The sequence below is a fragment of the Homo sapiens genome, chromosome 6, assembly GCF_000001405.40.
Source record: "Homo sapiens chromosome 6, GRCh38.p14 Primary Assembly".
Classification (NCBI taxonomy): Eukaryota; Metazoa; Chordata; class Mammalia; order Primates; family Hominidae; genus Homo; species Homo sapiens.
Genome location: NC_000006.12, coordinates 57,487,308 through 57,514,029, shown reverse-complemented (window position 1 = coordinate 57,514,029; position 26,722 = coordinate 57,487,308). Strand labels below are relative to the sequence as shown.

At 36.5% G+C, this 26,722-nt stretch overlaps 1 protein-coding gene across 7 annotated transcripts in view; it reads right to left on the bottom strand.

The window, feature by feature from the left end:
• The window catches only part of PRIM2 (DNA primase subunit 2), a 425,311-nt gene that overhangs the window by 132,821 nt on the left and 265,768 nt on the right, over positions 1 to 26,722 (bottom strand). For 5 of the 7 annotated variants that reach the window (XM_047418987.1, NM_000947.5, XM_047418988.1 and 2 more), the window contains exon 8: positions 6,576 to 6,643. The exons of 1 other annotated variant lie outside the window; for it this stretch is intronic. In XM_047418987.1, the coding sequence (XP_047274943.1) occupies positions 6,576 to 6,643 (68 nt within the window). Of the gene's footprint in view, positions 1 to 6,575; positions 6,644 to 25,251; positions 26,481 to 26,722 lie in introns of those variants that run through there. One more of the 7 variants, XM_047418991.1, reaches the window with a different exon arrangement.

Genomic DNA, 26,722 nt, shown 5'->3' with positions numbered 1-26,722 from the left:
ATATGATGCAGTCCAAGTACTTACTATAAGTAATACTTGTTTTAGCTTGCTTTATCTTTGTTTGATTTCTAATTCATTCTTGGGCTGAAATATGCTCGCAAAATTGTGGTGTGACAAATACGCATTTTAAAAATGAGTTATTCTTTAATGACAAAACATTAAATAATAGCAATTGTTGCCCAGCCTGGAGTGCAGTGGCATGATCCTGGCTCACTACAACCTCTGCCTCCTAGGTTCAAGTGATTCTCCTGCCTCAGCCTCCTGAGCAGCTGGGATTACAGGTGCGCGCCACCACAGTGGGCTAATTTTTGTATTTTTAGTAGAGACAGGCTGGTCTTGAACTCCTGGCCTCAAGTGATCTGCCTGCCTCAGCCTCCCAAAGTGCTGGGTTTACAGGCGTAAGCCACCGCGTCCAGCCAATAATAGCAACTATTACAGTGACTTATAATATGCTGTCCCCCAATGCACTTCATATCTTGAAGTCAAGGGATAAAGGAGGAAGATACATACACTGTAGGCGTTATTTTTAAGGGGGAAAAATTCTCAATCATACAACTAAAAGTTATCACATGTATAATATGGGCTGCAAGTTTTCCTCTCTAGTTGTACCTATTTATACTTCATATTTATAAGTGAGATAATAAATAAAAATAAACACCTTTATCATGCACACTTGCTAGCCTAATGCCATTTTTATAAATATTATCCCATGGTACCATCATTAGGATAGCAAAGATACTTATTTACAATAAACTTCTACATTCATGGGAACATATTCCAAGACCTTTATGTATCTCCAAACTACCAAATCAGTGAACGATATAATTCACCCTAGAAAATGCAGTGATATATAACCATGATAATGACAGTAAAGCCACAATGAGATGCAGGCTCCTTAGATTACATATCTAATCATATGCAATTTGGTGAAAGCAGAAATAATGATTTATACAAATTCTCTCTAAACTTTATATTATTGTAAGTCTAAGTAAGTTTATTTCTTCCAATAGAAAAGTTCCTGGTATCAATTTTGAAAAATGGTATAGTCTTATGAAATAATTAATTCATCTCTTTTGAGGAGAGGGAAAGGCAGTATTTTTCATTAGAAAAATCAGGTTTTCTTGGCTGGTGCATGGTGAGCACGGTGGCTCACACCTGTAATCCCAACACTTTGGGAGGCCGAGGCAGGCAGAACACCTGAGGTCTGGAGTTAGAGACCAGTCTGGCCAACATGATGAAACCCCATCCCTACTAAAAATAAAAAATTTATTGGGTGTGGTGGCACATGCCTGTAGTCCCAGCTACTTAGGAAGCTGAGGCAGAAGAATCGCTTGAACCCAGTAGGAGGAGGTTGCAGTAAGCTGAGATCATGCCATTGCACTCCAGCCTGGGCGACAGACAGAGTGAGACTTTGTCTCAAAAAAAAAGAAAAGAAAAAGAAAAATTAGGTTTTCTTAATGAGAACATCATGAGGCTCCATCACCAACCTGTAAAATAGGGATTATGATAAATAACCATCTACCATCCACACTGGATTGTTCTGAGTATGCACCAAAAAGCTAGATTGGAAAGTACTTTTTAAACTCCAGTCAGTTTGATTTCCTGGCCTATCCCCTTCTACCCCTCCTAAAACATTGCCCCTTCAATTATTCCCTCTTACTCCCATACTACTCATTTCTGCCTTAACCTGTAAATATGCTCATCTTACCAATCTTAAGGAAAAAATAAAACACTTTCTTCAACCATGAAGCTCACAGATGCAGTCCTTTTTCCTTACATGTCCTCAGAATTAAGCTCTACCAAGAGTAGCCTACTCCCTATATTTCCACAGCCTCATTTCTTATTTATTCCTCAAATCCTCATAAGACTTGGACTTGTATCCATACCATTAGCACCCATCATACCACTATCCTTTTTTGTTCAAGGCTCCTCCCTGGTATTTTTACCGGTTTCTCATATCCCAACTCCCGCACTGCCCATCACAAGTCATTTAAACACTGATATTCTGTGGGTTCGATTCAGTACCCTTCACCCTTTTCTTGTCTCTCTATACTCTCTTCCTGAGTGATCTCAACCGTTCCCTTTATTTTAACCAAGACCTGCACAGTGATGATTAGCAAATGTCTCCCTGATGTAAACCTCACTCTTCAACTGTGGGTCTGTATTCAACTGCTCACTAAACATCCCCCACATAGGTCCCCACAGGTATCTCAAGCTTAAAATGTCTGAAACTACTGAAATTACCATCTAAGCAATCATATTCATTCCCTAATTGCCTTGTCTTCCTTTCTTTATTCTCCTTCTTAGTTAATGACAATATTATCCCTCAAGTGAGATTACAGTTCAGTCCATTCAGCCTGAGAAAGCTGACTAAGAATAAAACAACAAAAAAAGAATAAATTTCAGTCCAATCTGAGCTCCCACTGTGAGCCACTGTGCTAGAATGCACGGAAACCAAAACAATTAAGTTATGGCCCAATTACTTAAGGAGATAATTCCACGAGGGAGACAGTTCAATTAACAAAATTATGTACATTGTATTTAATTCTGATAGAAAATGATACAAATTTTATAACTTGTTCAAGTGCCTATCTCTCAAATGAAATCAAACCCAACTCCCTGAAAACAGAGATTGTGTGTTTTCTTTTAATTCTAAGCACATAACGGGCACTAAGTAATTAATGAGTGAATGGACAATACTAATGAATTAAAAACACAGTTGTACTGCCATAAGATATTGAAGCACGATGTTTTTCTGTACTTGAGAATTGGATTCAACTAAAACAGTTTGGACACATCACTTCTGCAGTCTCAAAATAATATATATTGTTAAGCGATATTCTAGATTATTTGATTGGCAGTGTTACCTTAATTCTCTTTGAGTCTCTAAATCCTGTAAAATGATTTGAGAATTTCTCTGTATTGCTACTTCAATTTTTACAGGTATTTGTATTATCTCCCAAATTAGTTTTATTGGCAAATTTAATTAAAATGCTACTCATCATTCCTCTTTCCTCATTAGAGGCAATAAACAAAATTAGACCTAATAATGATCTCGGTATCAACCTCCTAATGTCCATCCGCCTCTAGGTAACATTTAAATTACACAGTTCATGCAAATCAATTTTTTTCTAACAAAATTATTATTAAAATCTCTCAAGCCAAATAATATTATTTCCTATTTAGAACTAAGCAAAAGGAAGATAAAATAAAAACATTACATTTAGACAAGCAAAAGCAACAATTCAGTATTCTTGAAAGGCGTTATAACAAGGTTACCTTGTAGAACAGGAAGTGTCAAACTATGCACATCAGCTGCCACCCGACATATACATGTCTCTGACATGGTAATAAAATGAGAAACCGTTTTGTTTAATAATAATAATAATAAAGCAACAGCAGTGGGTGCACATTACATGTAGCATCTAGTCCTGGTTGCCTAGCAACCCGTCATGAGTGAAATCCACAGAGAATAAAAGCCCTTAAATGAATGTACAGTTTGTGCAACTTTCAAGGACTCAAAGAGATGTGTCAGTAGTTAATCTAAATTCTAGCTGGCAATTACCATACTCAGATGGAGGAAGGAGAATCCATCATTATCTCTCAGAATCAACTGTGAGATTAACTAAAAGCTAGATTCTACCCTTTAGGTTTTTACCTTTTGAACCAGTGGTTTTCTAGGAAAAAAATTTTGACAGTATGATTTATAAATTATAAAAACTTTATGCAGAAAAAAACAACAAAATTTCACTAATATAACTTGTATTCATTCATTCAACAAAACATATAATACCTATCATACACCAGATACTGTCTCCGCTATTGAAAATACAAATATGAACATCACTTTACAAGCTTTCAAGCATACTATAATGGAGAAATCAAACAGTAAACAAACAATAACAATATCACAAATTCTGTAATACAGAAGAAGGCATGGGATATTATGAAAATATCTATAAAAGACTTCCAATTCAGACTACGGAGGTGAACTAATTAATGGTCAGGGAAAACTTATCAGAAGAGGTAATGTTTGAGATGAGTTTTAAAAGACAAGCAAAAGTTGTTATAAAAGTGGAGCATGAGGAGAATATAAATAGATTTGCGTATGTATATACATCTACAATATACTTTATATATTTCTAAAATATATATTTACATTATATATTTAAAATGTTTTAAAATTATATTAAATACATTTAAAATATATTAAAATTATGTTAAATACATTTAAAATGTTCTAAAATTATATATATTATATATCTACAAATTTACATAAATAGAAGTGGCAGAAGGAAAAATATTTGTAAGGCCGTAGGGGTGAGTGAGCAAAAAGCATGTTGTGTTGAAGGAACTTCACAGCATTTGGTGAAATTAGGATCTCAGTGTTAAAACAGGAGTCCAAAGAGACAGACAGCCCAGGCCTCTTCCAGAAGGACCTCTTATGCCAGGCTAAGAAGTTCGGACTTCCTCCAGAATGAAATTGGAGAGGCAGAGATGGGTCTTAAGCCAGTGAATAATATAAACACATATGGCAATGATGTGAAATATATTAGAAAGGGCAAAGCAAACAGACAAGATGCTATGATAGCAAGAGATATACTCAAGAGATAAAATTGCCAACAGAGTTGAATGCGGCAGGTGGGCATTAAGCAAGAGACTCAAAAATAATTTCTGAGATTCTTAACTCGCAAACACAGAGCTCTAGTAAATTTAACAATCATGTATAAATGTTGTTATACATAAAAATGTATGCTATTCAGTCCCTGCTGAAATATTAGACTTGATCAACCCAACAAAACAATTACACAAAGGTTACGACTTCTTCGTAACCCAACAAAACAATTATACAAAGGTTAAAAAGCTGTCTGGGAAGGAACAGTTACTGGAGAGCAGGAAGAAAAGGCAAGGAAAGTGGAGAGGGGAGGAAGAAAGAAAGGAAAAATAAAGAAATACTAAGAAAGAAAAAGAAAACTAAAACTAAAACTTTCTGGTGAAAGTAAAAATCTATCCACACTTCTGAAAGAGAAGTTTAAAAAGAATTTTTCAAAACCATAAAGGAAAACACTATTGGTGCTTGACTACATAAAACCTGAAAATGTAGGTATGTTGACTAATACAATTTTAGAATTTTAGAAAAAAAGTATGTAACAAATACAACAAAGAGTCACTATCCTTTAAAGTATGTAAAAGCAAATAAGATCAGGAGATGCTATCAATAAGTGAGCAAAGAATACAGGTAGTTAATCCCACCTCAAAAATAAGGAAAATGAATTATTATTACCAACAAAATGCACAGGATCACAATAGTATCTCTATGTCTAACCTATTAGCAACTGTTTTGACTGCCCTATCTTGTTCAGAGTATAGTTACATGGCAGTCTTATACAAATATAAGTGTATAGGTAGAATAAGATTTTGAAAAAGAAATATACATATACACTTAAATCTTTAAAATGGTTCACACCCTTTGACAAAGTAATTCCAATTCTGAAAACCTACCCTAAGAAAATGATCTAAAATACAAATAAAGGTTAACATATAGCATTATTTTATAGAAGGAATAAAAAACTGGAAATGGTCTAAAGCTTCCCAAAGGGAGATAAATATGCTATAGTACAGATATACAAGAAAATATAATGTAGTCACTAACAATAATGTTTTTAGACAGATTTTAATACTAAGGGAAAAAATATTACAATATTTATAAAAATGGAAAAAATAGTCACATAAACTATAATTTCAACACTAAGTAAAAAACAACAACGACAACAACAACAAAAACACAGAAAGGGCAGGGTGCGGTGGCTTATGCCTGTAATCCCAGCACTTTGGGAGGCTGAGGCAGGTGGATCACCTGAGGTCAGGAGTTCGAGACCAGTCTGGCCAATATGGCGAAACCCTGTCTCTACTAAAAAAACAAAAATGAAACAGGCGAGGTGCCCCACACCTGTAATCCTAGCTACTTGGGAAGCTGAGGCACAAGAATTGTTTGAATCTGGGAGGCAGAGGTTGCAGTGAGCGGAGATCGCACCACTGCACTCTAGCCTGGGCGACAGAGCAAGATTCCATCTCAAAAAATAAAAAATTAAAATTAAAAAACATAGAAAGGATAAACATTATTTCTGAGTAGTAATGATAGGTTTTTCCTTTTCCTTTCCTGTATTTTCTAACTTTATTTTTTAAATAATGAGACTATATTATTTTTGTATTTAGAAACAAACTCCATCTAACTCATCTATCCTCAATAAAAGTATGCCTTAACCTTGTATTTACGTAAATAGCTCATTCATTTGAGATCTTTCTGTAAAGTTAATTATCTCTACTCATTTAACTTAAACTTATCAAGCAGTTCAGCACACTGTTGTTGAATTAAAAGAGCTTTCTACAGTGCCCTAAATAAAGTAAGGGTAACAAGTACATGGTATTAAGAACTTCAATTTGAATAATGGAATGAAAGCAAGAAAAAAAAAATAAGTTTTTAGTAATTGAAGGGGTTTCACCACTTTAATATACTTTATTCACTTTACTGCACTTGGATTTATAAGCATAACAAGGCTGTGCCCTTATATTACCTGAGGTGATTGAGCAGAGGCTGAAGTCTTTCATCAGACTGCACAGCAGGCAAGGACCTGGCTGTTAACTAAAAGCAGGGAAGAAAATTAGTAAAAACAGCAAAGGCCGAACACCGAACATATTTGAATACTAAATGTAAAACGAGCTGAAGGGCAGATAGGGAGGCAATACTTAAAAATATAAGGTTCTATTTCTCTTTTTTCAAATCAAGAAATTATATAAAAACCTCACACATTACGTGATCAAAGCTGGCTACATGGTTCTAAGGACATAGGGTATGTCACTAAGTTTAAAAGTAAAGAAAAAGGTGAGCAAAACAGAGAGTAAAAGGGAGTGTCCTGAGTTCATGAAAAAGCATTCACTTATGAGACTATTATCTTTGTAAATAAAAATGGAAAAACTTCTAAATGTAAAATTGTATAATAACCAATCTTGTAGTACTGAGTCCTAAGATGATGAATAAATTGGGAAGATAAATTCTGATTTATAGCTAAGCCACTGTGAAACTGGTTACATACAGAAGTGTATGTACTTTATTCTGTCAGCCACATGACTATAAGGAACCAAGGATATCTTTTAAGTATACAGAAGCAACTCAAAGTATTTAATATTGAAATATGACCTCAAATTGAGCTAGGAAATAAGAAGTCAGAGCCAATACTGTGTACCAACTTGACAGCATATCATCAAAATATGAATTTATGATCTATTTTATTACAATAATATTAATTATATATCTATGTATCTCTATTTTCTTCTCTGTTCTTAAGAGAATACCTTTTTATAAGAATTTGACACAAGGAAATTAAAGACATTCATTCAAAGTAATCAGATAGCTTGAGGTAAACTTAATAAAACATCAAAACAAAAATAAAAGATAAATGTCTTCAAGATTCAATTATGATCAAAATGGTTCTCATATTTTACTAATCAATCATTTAACAATTCACAAAAAAGAACCTTAAGACAAGCAACAAACTGAAAGATATCCTTTGGGTTTATATAGTGTATCCTCTCTTTTTAATTTTTTTCAAACATTAATTACAATTTCCTAAAAATGGAAAACAGACATTTAATTCATCAAATCTAATTTTTATATTATGCAAATAAAACTATCATCTAAAAATATCTTTTATATTTTTGAAAAAAAGTTGACCAAAGTGCCATATTCTGATAATAATGGAGAAGCTTTCCCAATTTTGTACAAGAGTCAACACGTCGACAGTTACTAATTTAAAATACAATAAAGTGAGACAATTAATCTGCTACAATTTTAGCACAATCAAGACTTTCAGTATCCCTGAAAAATACTAAGTATTAAAATACTAAGTACTAAGTATTAAAAAAATACTAAGTAACCTATATGTAACATATAAGATGTTATCAAGGTTATCAAATTCTATAAACAAAACACTTTAATACTTTAATACATCCTTTATCTGTTAATGTCAAATCCTGTTACAAAATGCCATTTTCATTGTTCAAGAGATTTCATGTCTCAGAACCAAAGCTGTGTTCTAAAACGATTTAAATGATTTATCTAGACATTTCAAAAGTCAGTTCTCTGAAAACAGAGCAGACAGAGTGGGCTTTTTCAGTCACTTCTGTCAATCTATATAGTATGCTTTCTAATAGAGGCAAACAAAAAACAACTCAGTAACAGCAAAATATTCTAGACATCTGTTAAGTCCATATAGGAAAGATTTTCAAATCTACCCCTTCATCTTAATTTCAGTCTTCATTTCCTTTTCCCTAAACTATTAATACATCTCCACTGTTGTTTCTGCTGCCATTCTTGCCCCTTCCCTAATTTATACCAAGGTCAGAGTGAAATTTTCAAAATGAAAGTTAACCACACCCCTAATTAAAATCATCTAGTAATTCCCTCTGGCTCCCAGGGTAAAGTTATTACATCAGTCTTTCATCAGACATTTTCTTAAAATTTTCCTTTTAGGTGGCATTACTGAAACAATAGGCACAGAATGATTGGCTATACAGCTTCTGCCAATTCCACAAAACACAATGACAGCACATCAGGTAGAAATTTTCCATAGCTCCAGTTTTCTGGAACACATGTGCTTGATGATTTGAGTTTTCCCAACCTCCCCTTCCCACCTCCAACTTACTTTCGAGATTGAATCTCTGGCAAGAATGATTCCTAAACCAGGGAGAGGCCAATGCTCTGAGTAAAATTATTTCAAGGAAGATTTTTGAGTTTTCCAAAGGTTTTCTTTTCAACTTTTAAAACAATTAGCGCTTACAAAAAGAGCATGCATCTCTTCATGTTAAGGATATGAAGTAATAAAGCTATTCCAAAGCTCTTTAAAGTGGCAAACCCATCTGCTAACCTTTTGCTGACAGAATTCAAACTTCATTTTAGGAACTGTTGGCTCCATTTCTTCTGAAATTTTTCTCTGAGCTAACGTAGTTACTACTTACATCCACTGGACTGTGAGTGGTAACTGCATCCCTAGCACTTGCAACACAACAGATGTTTAGTTTAGCAAGTATGTAATTTCATTAATTGATAAAAATGAAAGTATATGTCTATGTTTCATAAAGCTTTTCAAATTCCTGCTTTGAGCAAAACTAAGTATAAATCAAAACTAAACTAAGTAACAATTATCAAGCCTTCCAAGAAAGCAATACACTGTCACAATGAGATTTTTAGCATTTCCTCTACAACTAGAAAGCTATATCTATCCAGGTTAAATCGACTTTGGCTTCCAACTATGTTTTAATTTTTTTTCTTTTTATAGAAAACACAACAATGTACCGGACACATAAATCACCAAGAATGAAAGAGAAGGAAGATCTATCACAGTTTGCATCTGCAAAGCCTAAACGAGTTGTTTAAGTTTGGGCTATTTCATGGGAACCATCATAGAATTTGGCATAACTTATAGCCTATTTCTCATTATCGTTGAAAGGTTAGGGGTGAGTTAAGATGTCCTTTCATTATTAAAACTATATTAGCACACTGAATTAACCAATACAGTTTCCACTGTTTTTAGACAAGTGTTAACAGATAACTAACTCTTATATAAATCTCATTTTAAAAATTAGTATTACTGGGTAAATTTTGCCCTTTGACATCTATCTGGTTACAAAAATAATGCATTTTACCAACTAATAATCCTCCATTAAATGCCAATAAATCAGGTGGTTACTCTAGACTTCACCACTACACAATATATCCATGTAACAAAACTACACTTGTACCCTTGTAAATTATAAAAATAAAGAAAAATGCCAATAAATGTCAAATACGTTCAAAGTACAAGAGACAAAAGGGAGTCTGGAGGTGCCTGATCCAACTTTGTCATTTTATGCATGAGGAAAGCAGGTTCCTCAGGCCACAAGCAACTAGTTGCTGGCATGGCCAGAAGCCTTCACCTAATCTCAGAGCACTTCTGTCTCCTTTGAGTCCCTCACCCCTCAAAACAGGACAGCACTTTTCAAGATTCACTTTACCTCACAGATTTTTAGTCTTCAAGATTCCCAAATTTTTTCATGGAAAATTTCTTCACATCATTTGGGATTTGGCTCAAATATCACCTCCTCACAGAGGCCTTCCCTAACCTTTGGTAAAGGGTAACTGATGCTTTACCAAGGGTTTAGAATTTTATTTCTCAAGATATACTATAACACGCACCACCAAAAGATTGACCACAACATAGTTCCTTCTTTTTTTTTTTAAGACAGAGCCTTGCTTTGTCACCCAGGCTGGAGTGCAGTGGTGTGATCTTGGCCCACTGCAACCTCCAACCTCCGCCTCCCGCATTCAAGCAATTCTCCTGCCTCAGCCTCCTGAGTAGCTAGGATTACAGGTGTGTGCCACCATGCCCAGCTAATTTCTGTATTTTTAATAGAGATGGGGTTTCACCATGTTGTCCAGGCTGGTCTCGAACTTCTGACCTCAAGTGATCCACCCGCCTTGGCCTCCCAAAGTGCTGGGATCGTACACGTGAGCCACTGCACCCAGCCATAGTTCCTTCCTTCTAATCTATGTCTCTCTGATTTTTGGTGGAGGGGGCTGGGTCACTAAATGATTGTTAGAAATAAAGCAGAAATATTGACTAAATCTATACTTTCCCAACAAAGGTTTGGTAAAGCAGTAGGTATTCCCTAACTCTTCGTAAAGCAGCAGGGTATTCTAACCATTACTCAGGTACCTCACAACATTTATCACTATCTGAAATTATCTGATTAATTTTCTTACTGTGTCTTTCTCTCATCACAAGAATATAGGCTCTGTCAGGGCAGGAACCTCTTCCATCTTGTCATCACTTTCCCCCGACTGCTTAGAACAGCACATGGTATGGCATGCAATATGTACTCACTAAGTTTTGTAGAGTGAATGTAAGGTTTACCCATCTGAAATATTTCCAACAGAGGCATAGGTTTAGAAAAGTCTGCCCTAGACACTGATCCTTTTGGTCTTGTATTTCTAATTGTTTTCATTAGTAAATATGTCCTATCAAGGAGAGGAGTCATACGCGTTTCTCTTTTCATTTCCAGCTAAATGGAATATCCAAGACCTTCTGTTAAAATGAGGGCAAGTGCACTACCCTGCAATGTAGTTGAAACTGTGACCTCCTGGTTCAAAAGAAACAAGTAGCCCAAAACTAGCAGTCCAAAACTCAAATTATGGATTGTCAACTGAAAAAGGATGAGGTTCATAAATCTGGAAGGAGAAGCTTTATTTCTCATAAAGGGTTGCAGCCTGCCGGATGGCCATTCTGATAGACTAGGAAGTGTAGCCTCTGCCCGGAAGCCAGAAACAGACACTTCGAGGGAGGAGCAAAGGAAATAGGAATTTATGCTGAACAGGGTAGCCAAATACACATATTTAATAAGCTATAGGAGGAGTCATGAATATTTATGAGAGGAGAAGCATGCACACATGCAATTAAGGTTCACGTCCCTTCATGAGTCACGTGTAAAAAAATCGCGGCATTAGCATGATCCAAAGGTGGAGCTTTCCGGCATCGGATAGTGAAGCAGAGAACATGAAAACCCTCACTGCGCATCCTCCATAGACTGGCCTGAACCACTCTGTAGTTAGTAGTCTCTTGTCAGGAGGGAATGTTGGTAAACTGTTGTGTGGAAACTGCAAAGGGAAGGGTGAGCATCAGGTGGTTGGTTGATATCAGGGATGGAATGAGTCTTTCCTGAGGGCTCATTTCTGTTTAGCCTAATGGCAGTTAGCAAGAGATGGGGCATAATGAGGCATGTCTGACCTCCCATTCCATCATGGCTGGGAACTCAACTTCCAAGGTTTCTCTAGGGTTCCCTTGGCTGGGGGGCTTAAAATTTTACTTTTATTTCTTAAAATATACTATAACAGTCACTACCAAAAGAGTGACCATGACATAGTTCCTTCCTTCTAATCTATGTCTCTCTGGTTTTTGGTGGAGGGGGTTGGGTCACCAATTGATTGTTAGAAATAAAGCAGAAATATTGGCTGAATATATATTTTCCCAACATTATTAAAAATTTCAAACACACAAAGTTCAAAGTCGTTTACAGTGAACAGCCATTTAAAAGAACAAAAAAACCTAACCAGCCAAGACTGAGACTGCTTCAAAAATTTATATAAAGTAACTAAGGAACAGACAGTGTAAATATGACTGTATTCAAATAAGACTCAGACCAATGTAAAGAAATAGCCTTGTTATTTAAATCACAATGCTAAAATAAAAGTGTGTGTTTAAACACCTTTCAAGATATTATTGCTAAATAAATAACTTGTAGCTCCTGGTAGGTTAGTTATTTTGAAAGAGAGTCCAAAATATCTGTCTCAAAACACCCCACATAAAAAGGACATAAAGTTTTAAAAACACTGAAATCCAGCCAGGCACAGTGGCTCATGCCTGTATTCCCAGAACTTTGGGAGGCTGAGGCGAGTGGATCACCTGAGGTCAGGAGTTTGAAACCAGCCTGGACAACATGGTGAAATCCCGTCTCTACTAAAAATACAAAAACTAGCTCGGCTTGGTGGCGGGCGCCTGTAATCCCAGCTACTCAGGAGGCTGAGGCAGGATAATCGCTTGAACCCAGGAGGCAGAGGTTGTAGTGAGCAGAGATCACACCACTGCAGTCCAGCCTGGCTGACAAGAGCAAAACTCTGTCTCCAAAAAAAGAAAAAAAAACTGAAATCCAATAGTAATTATAAGGTAAATCCACTCAAATATAGAAAAATCTGGATGTCATATCTTTTCAAGAGTAAAGCAAACAGAAAATATTTTTTCTTTTTAGACTTCCCTCTTAAATTAGATTTGCTTAATATAGCTAAAAATAAACTTGATCAGGATGGAAAAGGTAATTGTTAGAATTACATTCTCTATTCAATAACACTTTTTAACAAGTGGGGTAGGAAGCAATTTTGGTTGCACCTAGGAAAAGCAAGAGGAAAGGAGACTAGGGACAGTGAAAGCTTTGGTTTTATCAGAGATATTCTCATCCTTTCCTTGGATTCAATCCAAGAAAGTTCTGAAGCACATACAACCCTCTAAATTTATGCCAAGGAAGAAGTAAAGCTCTGGAGACTGAATCACTTAACATGTTTGCAATTCTGTTTCTTAGACTTTAGCTTATCTCTCTTTTCATTGTATTGGTTCTGTAAATAACTAGGAGAGACCAAACCTCCCTGCTTCCAATCACTGACCTTTGTTACAGATTAACTGGCATTCTTTATTGTCCTTACCTAACTCAGACCAGATGGCACCCAAGACTCCATGACAGTTACATCTTCAATGTGGAATGTTAAATATCTTTCCAGAAAGAAAAAGACCGCCTTAACTAATCAAATCATTGTAAGTATGCATTAAGCCTAACATAGAAAGATGTTGAAATTGTGTTAAACTTCCCTACGTTTTGTCTATATAAGCAATCCTATGCTTTTACACTTTGGAACACTGCCTTCCATTCTTTGCAGTCTGTGTTTCCCGTATGGCTAGTCCAAACTTTTTGCTTGAGTAAACCTTCTTTCAACTAGACTCTGACCCTTTTGATTATTTTAGGTTGACAATATGTTGACACTGGTTAATTCCTAGAGGTAAATACACGAATGTTCTACTATTTTGCATACATTTGTGTTTGCAATAGTTCAAGAGAGGCAGAGAGTGAAAACTGACTTATTTTCTAGCAGGGTGAGGAACGGCTTGGAGGAGGGCAAACTAAACTAGAGGCAAAGAGGTCAAAAGGGTGGCACATGCAGTGATCTAGGGATCCAAGATGAAGAGCCAAATTATGGCAGAGGCAGTAGGGACAGAAAGGAAGACATGTACATAAGAAATATGTAAAGGTATGCTCCACAGAACTGACTATCAGAGAAGGGGAAGATGGAGAGGACATGCAGATAGGTAGACAGCTCTATCAGCTGCAAGACAGTGGCTACAGAAGAGGAAGGTGGGAAATGAAGGAAAATTGTAAGTTTCATTTTAGGCATGCTGAATTTGAGGTGCTTTCAACTAACTAAGAGGTAACTAAATATATATGGATGTAGAGACCAGGAGAGATTTACATTTAGATTTAAGTGTTATCAGCAAATAAGTAGCAGATAAAGCCATGAACTGGCTAAACCTTCCCATATTATATGCATAAAACAGGGATGTCCAACTGTCATTAACTAGTAGCTCATTAGAGCACTGTTGAGGGTTCATTCTGTAGAGAAGAAAAAGTATTATCTTTCTTTCCCATCACTAGGTTCATGACTGAGAGTCCTATAACAAAAGACAGATTAACAAGAGTAAAACATACAAATTTAAGTTTTATGTGATATGGGAGCCTTCAGAAATGAAGACCGAAAGAAAAAGGGAAACGTGTGTTTTTTATGGACAGTTGTGCAGAAGTATGACTGAAGGACCAAAGGGTATAGTCTAATGGTAATTAACTGGGGGGAACTTAGCAAGTCCTGTTTGTTCAGAATCTTCTCTTTGTCCCTGTGTCTTCAGATATAAGACAGGTTTAGGAAGGGCACATCTCTAATGAAGGTTTTATAACCTACCTCAGGAGGAGGTCGGCTAGGGTTTATGGCCTGCTTCAGAAGAGAAGGAGCCAGGAGAAGGTGAGAATGACCTTGTTTCTGTTGTTCCCTCAAATGCCAAGAAGTATGTCCTAAATGCCATCAGTTACAAGCCACATCCAGGAAACAGTACATATTGAAATGTCTGCTCTGGATAAGGAATGGGAGATTAGAGATATCTGTCGGGCATGTGCCATTCTTAGCTGGAACAAGAAATTTTGCCGATAGACTTGAAGTTGTGTAACATTGATTTTAAGCAATTATAGATTAGTTAGAAAGCATAACCAGTAGCTCCTATAACTCTTGTTGTACACCTAGAATAAATGAATTTCACTTTGTGAAAAAATGTTCCTCTGCCTCCAGCTATGAAGCTGACTGTTGCTCTTAAAACCCCCTAAAGGATATTCTGCTGTTAGCCAATTGCTATTTTGAAGTAGAATTGTTTGAAAGGATTGAAAAGGGCCTGTAGGAAGAACATATTTTTCATGATTTTCTTTTTCAAATGATGAGCATGAAGGGAGGGAACAAGAATACACAAGGAGGTAAATACGTAAGCAAATATGGTAAATGGTTCTTAAAGAGTCAACAGACATTTTAAAAGCAAAGGTGGCCCAATCTGTTGAAAATGAAGAACAAGAGGGTGGCTTCATTTTAAAATAATGAATCCCTTCTCTGAACTGTTCACCCAACACTGGCGAAATTAAAACACATAAAAATGACAGGAAAAAAATGCTCACTTGGAAAATATTGCTCAATTTTGTTCTCTGGTGTTTTTACCCTCTACCACTCACTTCAGCTTCCTTACAAAAACTCAAGAGGAATGACAATATCAAGAAATCCAAGACAGGTAATCAGTACAATTTAGGTCCCTTCTTTTCATTTAATATTGCCTATTCAAAGAACCAGAATAGTATTCTCTTACAGTGGTATTAGGGCAGTGGCATTTATTACTTACAAATGACAAAGAGATAAATATTATTTATTATGTAAAATGACAAAGAACCAAATTTACGTTTATTTTAATGGAAAATAAATAGGGAATATTTTTCAAAATGTCTTTGCATTCTCCTCATTTCATACAAGATTTGAGATGGCTCCTACTGCATTTTATAACTCCCAAGAGTGCCAACTCAAAATCTAGAATGCCAACACTTGTCTAGTAAATTAAAGATGAATAGGTTATGCTTATATATGTATTCTAAGAGATAAACAATTTATAGATCAGGAAAATTTTTTTTAAAAATCAAAAGGCAACAATTTATTTAAACAGACCTCACAGCAACAAAAAGATATAGCTTTAAAGAGAACAGGTTGTTCAACAGAACTATCACTTTTATTACTGGGACCAAGGCAGATGTCAAATAAAATTAACTTTTACAAGCAGCTGCTCTTTTAACTTCATTGATTTTAACAACAGAAAATCCTGTGTCTTTTGAACTACATTTTCTTATAATAGCAACAGATCCCAATTACAAACCCCAAACTGTGAGATTCCACATTACATTTCCCCTTGCTCCTGGAACCAAATTTGTTCTCTAGTTTCATGTTCTCCCTTGGCAGGCTGAGATGCTGTTCATCACTAATCATAACAGTCTAGTGTTCAAATGCCCACAGCACTTTTTGGTTTCCACAGGGCTCTCACACACATTATTTCAGGTGATCTTCACAACAGAGGTGGTTTCATCACAACAATGCTTTGATACACGGAAATTTCTCTATCAGCTGACTGCAAACATGATTTTCAATATGTAAGCTCTAAAAAGCAACCAACGACCTTGTCAAGCAAAATGCATAGATTCCATTTGAGCTCTAAACATGCCCAAGTAGTTTAATTTCCAAAGAATATTAAACAGTGCAGAGTTAACAAGATATTTCCAGTTCAGGGGTCTGGATGATATGAAGAACCAAGGAAGCAAACCTGGGAATAGTGCAAGCAGACATCCCAGTGCTGATTTTTGATCATGAAACCTATGGTGTGAAAAGAAGCTTGTTATTCAAAGGCTAACCTAAGCACCCTACTGATGCTCTACATCATTTAGAAATGTAAAACAATCGCTTGAGCAAGGGGAAAAAAGATATTAAGAGATATGCAGTGATAAATGTACATGGATCACTGACTTTTCTCCCTTGGATATTATCTCTGAGGCTCCTCAAGGCCTCTCAAACTGTTCAGCCAAAGGTACCTGGAACATTCAAGGAGGGTGAACAACAGGTAACCTTTATGCCCTAACCATCAACTTCTTTTAATGTCATATAGTTATCTTAAAAACGTATACAAAATTTACGTTTGACTCTAGAACATGTTCTTGCTTTTACTATAAATAGGTTTAATTATTTTACCACTGAGTAACACAGTGCCATTGTTATCCTATGGTTTTATCTATTCCTTAGTATAGTTAGCCCCATACATTTGGCCATTTTATTACTTTAGAAAACATATTACTACATTTTTACTCCTTACAGCCCACGTGAGGTAAGTCTTTGGTGGTACAACTGAGGCTGGGAGTTGGCTGAGACAATTCTGGATCTTTTCACTGTGTCATTTCATGTGACTACCACTGTTCAGAGAGACAGAGATGACATTTTTTTCAGCCAAAAATCATTTTATGCAAAGACTCTAAAAACCATTTAAATTCCTAGATTTTTCATTCACTTAATAAATTTGTGAGGCAATAACTGAAGTTCTAAAATTCCTTATTATTATTGTATTTTCATTCATCATTTTTGTCTCCTAAACATCTATACCATATTTACCTAAACATACGTTTGTCAATTTCTTATTTAATGTAAGATAATAAACGCTTATCTAGGTTTTCCAGAACCAAAACTGTTCCTTTACTGTTTATTGTAAGCATGAATCTTGCACAAAATCTTTTTATGTGGAAGTTTCTCATAGAAATTCCTAAATACGCACATAAATTCTACTATGTACACTGGAGTTACCAACCATATCTACAGGCTTCTAGTAAATGTTTAAAAGAGGGCCCAGACTGAATAGTGGGTTTCATAGTGCATGTTGTGTATCTTCTGTCAGCAGTATAGGCCATGATTCCTTTAACTTCCTGCTGAGCCTATTTCCAGACATATAACCTGCCCATTACACTGGCAATCTTACCATTTTACCTAAATATTACTAAACAGTGTACCACTTTTTGCAAACATTAAAGATAATCTATTCTGCACTACACTTAAATACATTCTTTATTAAGTAATCTAAAATCAATGTCAAAGATCCACAATTATATTAATTACCAAAGTGAAGAGACACAGAAAAGACATGTATATGTAAATATACACTATCATTTTCTGCAGGAACTCTTTTTCCCCCAATTTGGACTTTCATTAACATTTGGGAATGGCTATAAAACAATTCAGAGTGGGCTGGGCGCAGTGGCTCAAGTCTGTAATCCCAGCACTTAGGGAGGCCCAGGCAAGAGGACTGCTTCAGCTCAGGAGTTTGAGACCAGCCTGGGAATATAGCAAGACTTCATCTCCACTAAAAATAAAAAAAAAATCAGCTGAGTGTGGTGGCACGTGCCTGTAATCCCAGCTACTTGAGAGGCTGAGGTAGAAGGATTGCTTAAGCTGAGGAGATCAAGGCTGCAGTTAGCTATGACTGTACCACTACACTCCAGCCTAGGTGACAAAGCAAGACCCTGTCTCAAAAACAAAAACAAAACGAAACATCAAGGTTATGGGGAGTGGAGTGTAGGAGGTGGACAAGATTATTACTAATGCCTCAGTAACAGTAATCTGTTGTGTAACAAAACATAGTCCTTGGAAATGCACTTGAAGAACTGAAGGGCAAGTAATCAACAAGAATACATAAAGATTTCCATTTCCCCAACAGCTGAACCTCAAACCACTGATCCAAATGTATAATTCAAGAATGGTAGCCCCAGATGGCTAACAACATACCTCTAATGTTTATGTTAACAGATGCTGCAGAAAGTATTCATTTGGTTAGTACTTCAGCTACTTTTCCTTGCCTCTGTGACTTAATTTTCTCTGCTCTCTTAGAGCACAATGATGTCTTCCTTGATAGATATCTTGCCTTTGTAGATGTTGAAAATGTTTTAAAATATAGAACAGCCCAGTGTGCCTCTACATCTCACTCAGTTTATTTATCTAACTGAAATAATCAGATATTGCACTATTTTTGGACTCATTCGGTTTAGTTTAAATTTAAGCTATTTTCTTTATTCATAAACTAATACTACAGTTTTTCTTTAAAAATAAATGAGACTATTACATAATTTTGTTGCTCTACTAAAGGATTTCTATTTTTAAGCCCTTCTAAAGGGAGCTTCTTAAACTATGTGACTAACTTCAATTACACATAAACATGTTTTGCCTATTAAAACTAGAGCCTTGTGATTAATTATAAAACTTTCCTAATTATATTTAAAACAAAACAGAACAAGAAAAGTAAATAATTTCCATTGCTAACACAGAAAAATCAATACAAACCATTGATTATGAAATGAAAATAGAAAAGTATAATGTCTTCACTGTGATAAGCACATTTATGTCAATTGGAATTTTCACCTCAGCCTTCTGATCCAACATTACATAGGATGCATTTCACAAATGTTTAATTCATCACAAATTTAGAGACAAAACTCATTTAATATTATTGAGGATGTTGGAAGGAAAATGAAATAGACATATTTTGAAATGTTGTAACAAACACATCAGGGTTGTTCCAAATCCTTTTTCCATCTCCTTTTTATTTTCCTTACAAAACTAGGAATCATCACAAGTAGCCACCTAGATCACTGATGTCTTCTCATTTCTAAATTCATAGAAGTTTCAAATGACACAGAATTCCTTTAACAACACAGAAACCCCTGAATTTAATGTATTAATACCAGTAAAAATATAAATCAGTTCCCTGTTAACTTAGGTCACCTAGTAAATCAAATTACATGCAAAATTCCTTTCTTACGAAAAGTAGATATTTTTCTTATTCTTTGTTTCCTTTAGGTTACTACATTTTTCTATCTCCTTTTAGATTAGAGACAATAATTAGATTCTACGGTAAAGAAAAGATGCTGGTCTAAAAGTGAAAAAACCCTTACCTGGTTGCATAAGTTTTTTAAAAAACAATGTAGCTATTATAACAACTGCCTATTCTTCTGACTGCCCAAAATGATGAGCTGCCACTTTCGTGATGGAATGGACCCTAGCTAACACCATACTGCAAGCAGGAAGGATGTAGATTCTAGACCACTGTGACATACTATTATCTGTACCTGCCCTATCCTACTCAAAGTACCAAGGCATAAAATCAAGAGTTGGGGTAAAGTAAGCATGTTTGGGGATACACTTCCTAAGAGTAATCATTTTAATATATCATATTTGTAAAATGCTCTTTGATATCAGAACAGCTGGCTGAGACTTTTAAGTGACCTTGGACATACAGTTGACTGACTACTTTCCAATAACATTATTTCATACTTTCTGGCACAATCACACTGATAGTGTTTGATGGATAACCAGACAAGCAAAGGACAAGTCTGAGCAATTGCCATCCTTTATACTTGACGTCTTCATGTTTCATTACACATCCTAGGAAAAGGGAAAAGGAACAAAAACCCATAGGCAATGTTAGTTCCAAGAGGTCTCAATACACACAGGAAGCCCCAAATAGTATTATTTTGAAGCAGCCACAATCTTTAAATAAAAATGCACTTTGTTGCAATTAAAGAACCACCAACAGTTATAAAACTAGGAGGAGGGAGAGATTTTCATCTTGCATGTCTTAGTTAAATTTTGTTTTCTTTAGTAAAATGTTTTGAATGAATGGTCACAAGATCCTCTGGACAAAGCACAGAGCACCAAATGTAAAGCTTGATTTTCCTGTTCTGCTATTTGTGCCTGATTTATTTCTCCCTCAGTTTAATCAAATGCAAATTAATGCCAGCATGAACTAAAATCTATCCTACTAAGATGCTTCAACAGTGCTCTCATGTGAACTATCAAAGAGTTCACATAATTTTAAAGTCAACTACCAAAAAACACATGTATTTGCCATAAGTTGCCACTGATTTTTTAAATTACATTAACATTACCTAAAAGTACACTAAATATTTTTGGTTAAAGACATATAGTAAACATACGGGCAACAAAGGACTTAAGGAAACAGGACATTTACAACAGTAGGCTGTGACTTTTCACCAACATTCTAGCTGCAGATCAAGACAGATGATTTTTTGGCCCCTATGCAAGGCAAGAATGAAGATGCTACTCACTAATAGGAGCAAGAATAAATCTGGAAGAAAAACTAAGAGAGATTCAGTTTTGTCCATGTTAAGTCTGAACTGCCTGTTAAGCATCCAGGCGGAACTATCTGGACTTAAGAAAATAAAGCTGTAGAAATCAATCAATCTCAGAACTTTTTGTAGATTTATGTGCTTTGACATAATTTCTATCCTTAAAACTAGAGCAAACATATAATGTATTGCTGTATTAATGCTCCTTTTTATTACAAGCTATAATAGATACAAGTATCACTTGCTACAGAACTATCCAGTTCTACAAATTCTTAATAAAATGGAAGTCTTAAAGGCAGTTCTTAAGTTGCTCAACAATTCTCAGAATATTGAACAATTATTTGCTTTAAAGATGTGCTGACAATACAGTAGCTACTAGCCACATGTGGCTACTGAGTTCTTGAAATGTGGCTAGTCCAAATTGAGATATGCCATAAAATATACACAAAATTTCAAAGACTTAGCATAGAGAAAAGAATGTAAAATATCTCAATAACTTTGTATACTAATTATATATCAAAATGACAATATTTGCAATATATTGGGTTAAATCAAATAAATTAAAATTAACTTCATCTTTTTATTTATTTATTTATTTTTTTTTTTTAGAGAGAGTTCTCCCTCTGTCGCCCAGGCTGGAGTGCAGTGGCATAATCTGGGCTCACTGCAGCCTCCGCCTCCTGGGTTCAAGCAATTCTCCTGCCTCAGCCTCCTGAGTAGCTGGGATTACAGGTACCCACCACCATGCCCTGCTAATTTTTGTATTTTTAGTAGAGATAGGGTTTCACCATGTTGGCCAGGCTGGTCTCAAACTCCTGACCTCAGGTGATCTGCCCGCCTCGGCCTCCCAAAGTGCTGGGATTACAGGTGTGAGATCAGAAAATTTTAAATTACATATGTGGTTCACATTTCTATTGGACAGACTTCTGTCCGGTACACAAGCAATAATAACATGATATTTAAATGAATTAAAATCTAGGAGCATGAGGACATGTTGAAAGGAGTTAGCCATCTTGCTTTAGGCAGACAGTAAGGGAAGGGTCCCCGGACAACCTCTGACACGCCCCACAAGTGTTTACACCAGATGTTTTGTGCAGGTAAGGGAACTTACACAGGGGGCTTGCCTAAACATGCCCGCAGTAGAAAATTCCATTCCTTAACACATGCGCAGTAGGGGAAATAAATCCATATGGAGCGGCTCAAACTAAGGGGCCACACGCACACTGGAAGGACTGGGTGGAGCTGCCAGGAATTGGCATCTTATACAAATAAGGAACCCAGCCTCGTCAGCTTTTAAATAAAAGCCCTGGTATTCAACTGTGAGGGGGCATCCAGCAACCTGCATTCAGGACCCCTCTCTTTGCTGAGAGCTTTCCTTTTGCTTAATAAATTCTACTCCACTCAATCTCTGGTGCCTGTGAGCCTAAATGTTCCTGGTGGTGAGACAAGAACCCAAAACTAGCTGAGCTAAAGGAGCAAAAATCCTGCATCAATGTGATTAAAAATCATTTCTGTTATATGTTATTGTTAGAAAATCATCTATTTCATTGTATCTATGGCTGTAAAAGCACGTTTCTAAAAAATACATACTGCAATATGAGATCAAAGAAAACAGCATGTACACACTCCCAAAAGTAAAAAGAGATGTATCTCTTTAACAAAAATGCTAGTCACTTCTCCCAAATAGTTATAAAAAATTACAAGGTTATGTATCATGACCTGCCACCCTGTATCTTTTTCAATCAGGAAGGTTATATAGAAAATATATCCCTTATTATGTTGAGAAATACTTTATCAAATGCAATATGAATTCATAAATTTCTTTTGCAAGTTTTGAATTATACGTTATATAGGTGATTTCCCTCGCCTCAAATATGCAGAGTAACTGAGAACATAGGGGCTGAAAAGATAATCTGGTCTGACTCATGTTCCATATGGATAATCTATGCTATCATTCTAAAATATTTTAGATTTCTTTGGTTTTGATATTCCTAAATTTCACTACACTACAGTTTATCAGGATATGGGTTTTTCTTGTCTTTCTTTCATGATACTCTTTTAGCCCTTTGAATGTGAAGTCTTTGTTCTTTCTTAATTCTGAACAATTTACCATCATTATTTATTTGAATATTTTTCTCTCCTTCAAATTCTTTTCTCCCTTCTGGGAATTCTATTATTTGAAAGCTAGCACTATTATCTCTCTCCCTCCATGTTTCTTAGCTTTCTTCAATATTTTCTGTCTCTGCCGGGCCAGATGCATTGACTCACACCTGTAATCCCAACACTCTGGCAGGCCGAGGTGAAAGGATCGCTTGAGCCCAGGAGTTTGAGACCAACCTGGGCAACATAGTGAGATGTCTCTTCAAAAATAAAAAATATATATTTTCTATCTCTGCTTTTCCTTCTGCCTTCAGAGGTCCTCAACATGATATTCAAGTTCAACAATCCACTTTTATCTATATCCATCCTATTTATCTGATTAAGCTCTTTACTTCAGGTCCTATATTTGTCAATCTAATATTCCTACTCTGTTCTTTTTATGACTTCTTGTTTGTTAACACTGCTACTATTGTCCTTTATTGCTGAATACATTTATTATGTTTATTTTTAATTATTGATCCCTCGGTTCGATAATTCTGCTTCATGAAGTCTATACTATTCCTTTTGTTATCTCCTCATATTTTCAATAGTGGCTGTATTCTCCATATACTTATTTTGGCTTCTGGGATCATATTCAACACAAGCTATGAGCTACTAGGTCTAGAAACATACATGAAAAAAATGGCCAAAACACAAGTCCTAGTACTGTCCCTTTTGGTGAATTTGAGAAGGATGAAGGGGATGAGCCACTGGCAACAAAAATCTCTCTTGATCACTCCAGTTTGCTGCCTACCACCAGGAAACTCCTTTAAAATGTAAATCCTTTAAAGGGTAACTCTTTTAAAGGGATTAGCCTTTAAAGTCCCAGAAAGCAGCAGCACTGGAAGAAGGCAATCTCAGTAGGGTATAATCTGCATGCTCCAGGAGGAGTCAGTGCCCTGGGGCAGCTGGTTGGCTTGTACCTGTTTTCATCAGCTCCTCACCCCATCAGCCTTTAGTGCTGCCCTGAAATAACCCAACTAACACCAACTTCTGTGGCAAGGGGCAGGCAATCATTGTCTCAAAGCAATTGGAGAAAGTCACATCAAACCTCAAACTTCAAAGACAAAAAAAAAAAAAAAACACTTAAAACAATTTTGCTTCTCCTGATTGATGCCTCAGGACACCCTGCGCCCTACACGAAACCACATACACAGACATACCAATTTGCAACAGCCTCAGTCACCCCTATAATTTTTCATAGTTATTTTAGGTATTTCCTCAGATCTCTGCTTTCCTCTTACTTCTGTAGTTTCTCCATGGTTAGTTTTGGGAGAAGGAGCCAACAGCCTATATTAACTCTCCAACTTGACAGAATCCCAAATAAGTTAACAAAGGAACAGCTCCCTGTACTACAGTGTAGGAAACTGGTAAAATATTAGAAAATAGAATTACCTGTAAGGATTAGTTCATGACACTGAGTATAAATAATCTAACCCTTTTCTTTTTTCTGGAGACGGGGGTCTCACTCTGTCGCCCAGGCTGGAGTGCAGTGGAACGATCTCGGCTCAATGCAAGCTCCGCCTCCCGGGTTCACGCCATTCTCCTGCCTCAGCCTCCTGAGTAGCTGAGACTACAGGTGCCCACCACCACGCCCAGCTTAGTTTTTTGTGTTTTTAGTAAAGACGGGGTTTCACCGTGTTAGCTAGGATGGTCTCGATCTCCTGACCTCATGATCTGCCTGCGCTGGCCTCCCAAAGTGCTGGGATTACAGGCGTAAGCCACTGCACCCGGCCTAAATAATCTAACACTTTTAAAACACCACACATACTCTTAAAAATGCAAACAAATCTCAAATACAGTTGCCAGACTAATAACCAATAATTAAGAATAATTCTTAAAACAGAGAACTCTGTTATACTCCTAAGCATGAGATGTTTCAGTTACAGCTTAAGGACCCTTGGGAAGCCCACTCATGTGCAGCCTGTGGCCCCTTGCACAGCCACATAAGGATGTGCCTGGGCCTGCATTTCCTTATAAAGAGATAAAGAGTTCTCACAAGTTGTGCTGCGCATATCTCTTAGGGACTATCTTTCCCTGTTCTGGGCTGGAGGTTTATTTCTTTGTTCTGTTTAAGCATGTGCATCATATAGTACCTGGCCAACCTCACTGCTATATCTGGCAAGGAGAGAACAGGGTTGTTCATCTGTAGCACGAGGGGATGAGGGCACACCCACAACCTCCCTGCCTTGGCTGCAGGGTGAGACCAGCTGGACATGGGGACCAACTCACTACTGAAGCTGACTTTGCCACCTCTTCTCTATGTGAGTAAAGACTGTTCCATCCACAGCCTGTGTGAGTCGTGTATCTCTTCAGGAATCCAACAATTGCAACCATGTGGTGGGCTGACATCCTGGGACTGCTGCTCCTGACAGTAGGTGTTGTTATGCTCCTTGCTGTCCTCCACACAGTGGGACTCCTCCCCTGAAGGTGGTAACAGGTCTCACTTGCTCGGTAAGTACAAAAACATTCTCAGAATCATTTCTCAGTAAAATTCCAAGTGACTACTTAATCTACATTCTACTTTTGAACTAATTACAGTTTCTACTGCCAAAAAGGCCCAGCTTTGAAACCCTGGTGTATAGACTAAAGTTTTCCCAAGAACACTGCTCCTGGAGTAGACTACTTTGCAGATTAAAGATGAGGCGGGCAGGCTGTTGCTAAGGCAATAATCCTGGGAAATGTGGTTTGCTGGGATTCCAACCAATACCACCAGAAAACTTATTGGCCATTCATTCTAGTGGGGTTCTCCTTTTCCAATCTCTTTCAATATAAAATCAATATTATGCATGCTCTGATTGTAGTCAGAGATTACATACTAGGGATTTTAATATAAATAAAACTGAAAGGGGAATTCAGAAGTCAGATGGAAAGAACATAGTAACAAATGATGTAAGCCTGAGTTGAAGGTCAGACACGCCTGAGTTCAAATGCTAGCCCTTACTAGCTATATGACCTTTAATTCATTCCTTAGTGCCTCAATTTCCTCATCTGTAAATGAGGGTACTAGTCCCAATTTTACACAGCTACTGTAAACTATACTGTATTAACTAAAATTAATAAATGAAGGGAACATATAAACAGGCCTTCAACTATAAATTCAACAAATATGCATTATATAAAACAATGGACTATGTGCTAAAAGCTAGTAGCTGCTGCTAGTAACAAACACTACTAAAACTCCCACCATCACCACTACTATCACCTCTCCTATTTCGAATTAATTGACTGAGCTTCACTCAGAATTAACATGCTTACCCTAGAGACAATTATTTTAAGAGTACATTTACAGAATTCTCAAATTATTTCAATCCCCAATGTGTTCAATTTGCTTCTTTAAAAAAAAATCAAATTATTTATTGCCATATGGTTTTTAGTAAAATGTTTCCTCTACAAGTTAAATGTGTTTGCTTCTAATTATTTCTAAATGTAGTGCTTGTAGTACCATAAAAATAATTTTGAGATCCAAATTTCATTGATCAGGCCAGGGGCAGTGGCGCATGCCTGTAATCCCAGCACTTTGGGAAGCCAAGGTGGGAGGATCACTTGAGGCAAGGAGCTTGAGACCAGCCTGGGCAACATGGTAAAACCCCATCTCTACTAAAAATACAAAAATTAGCCAGGCATGGCGGCATGCACCTGTAGTCCCAGCTACTCAGGAGCCTGAGCAGGAGAATAGCTTGAACCTGGGAGGCCCGGGTTG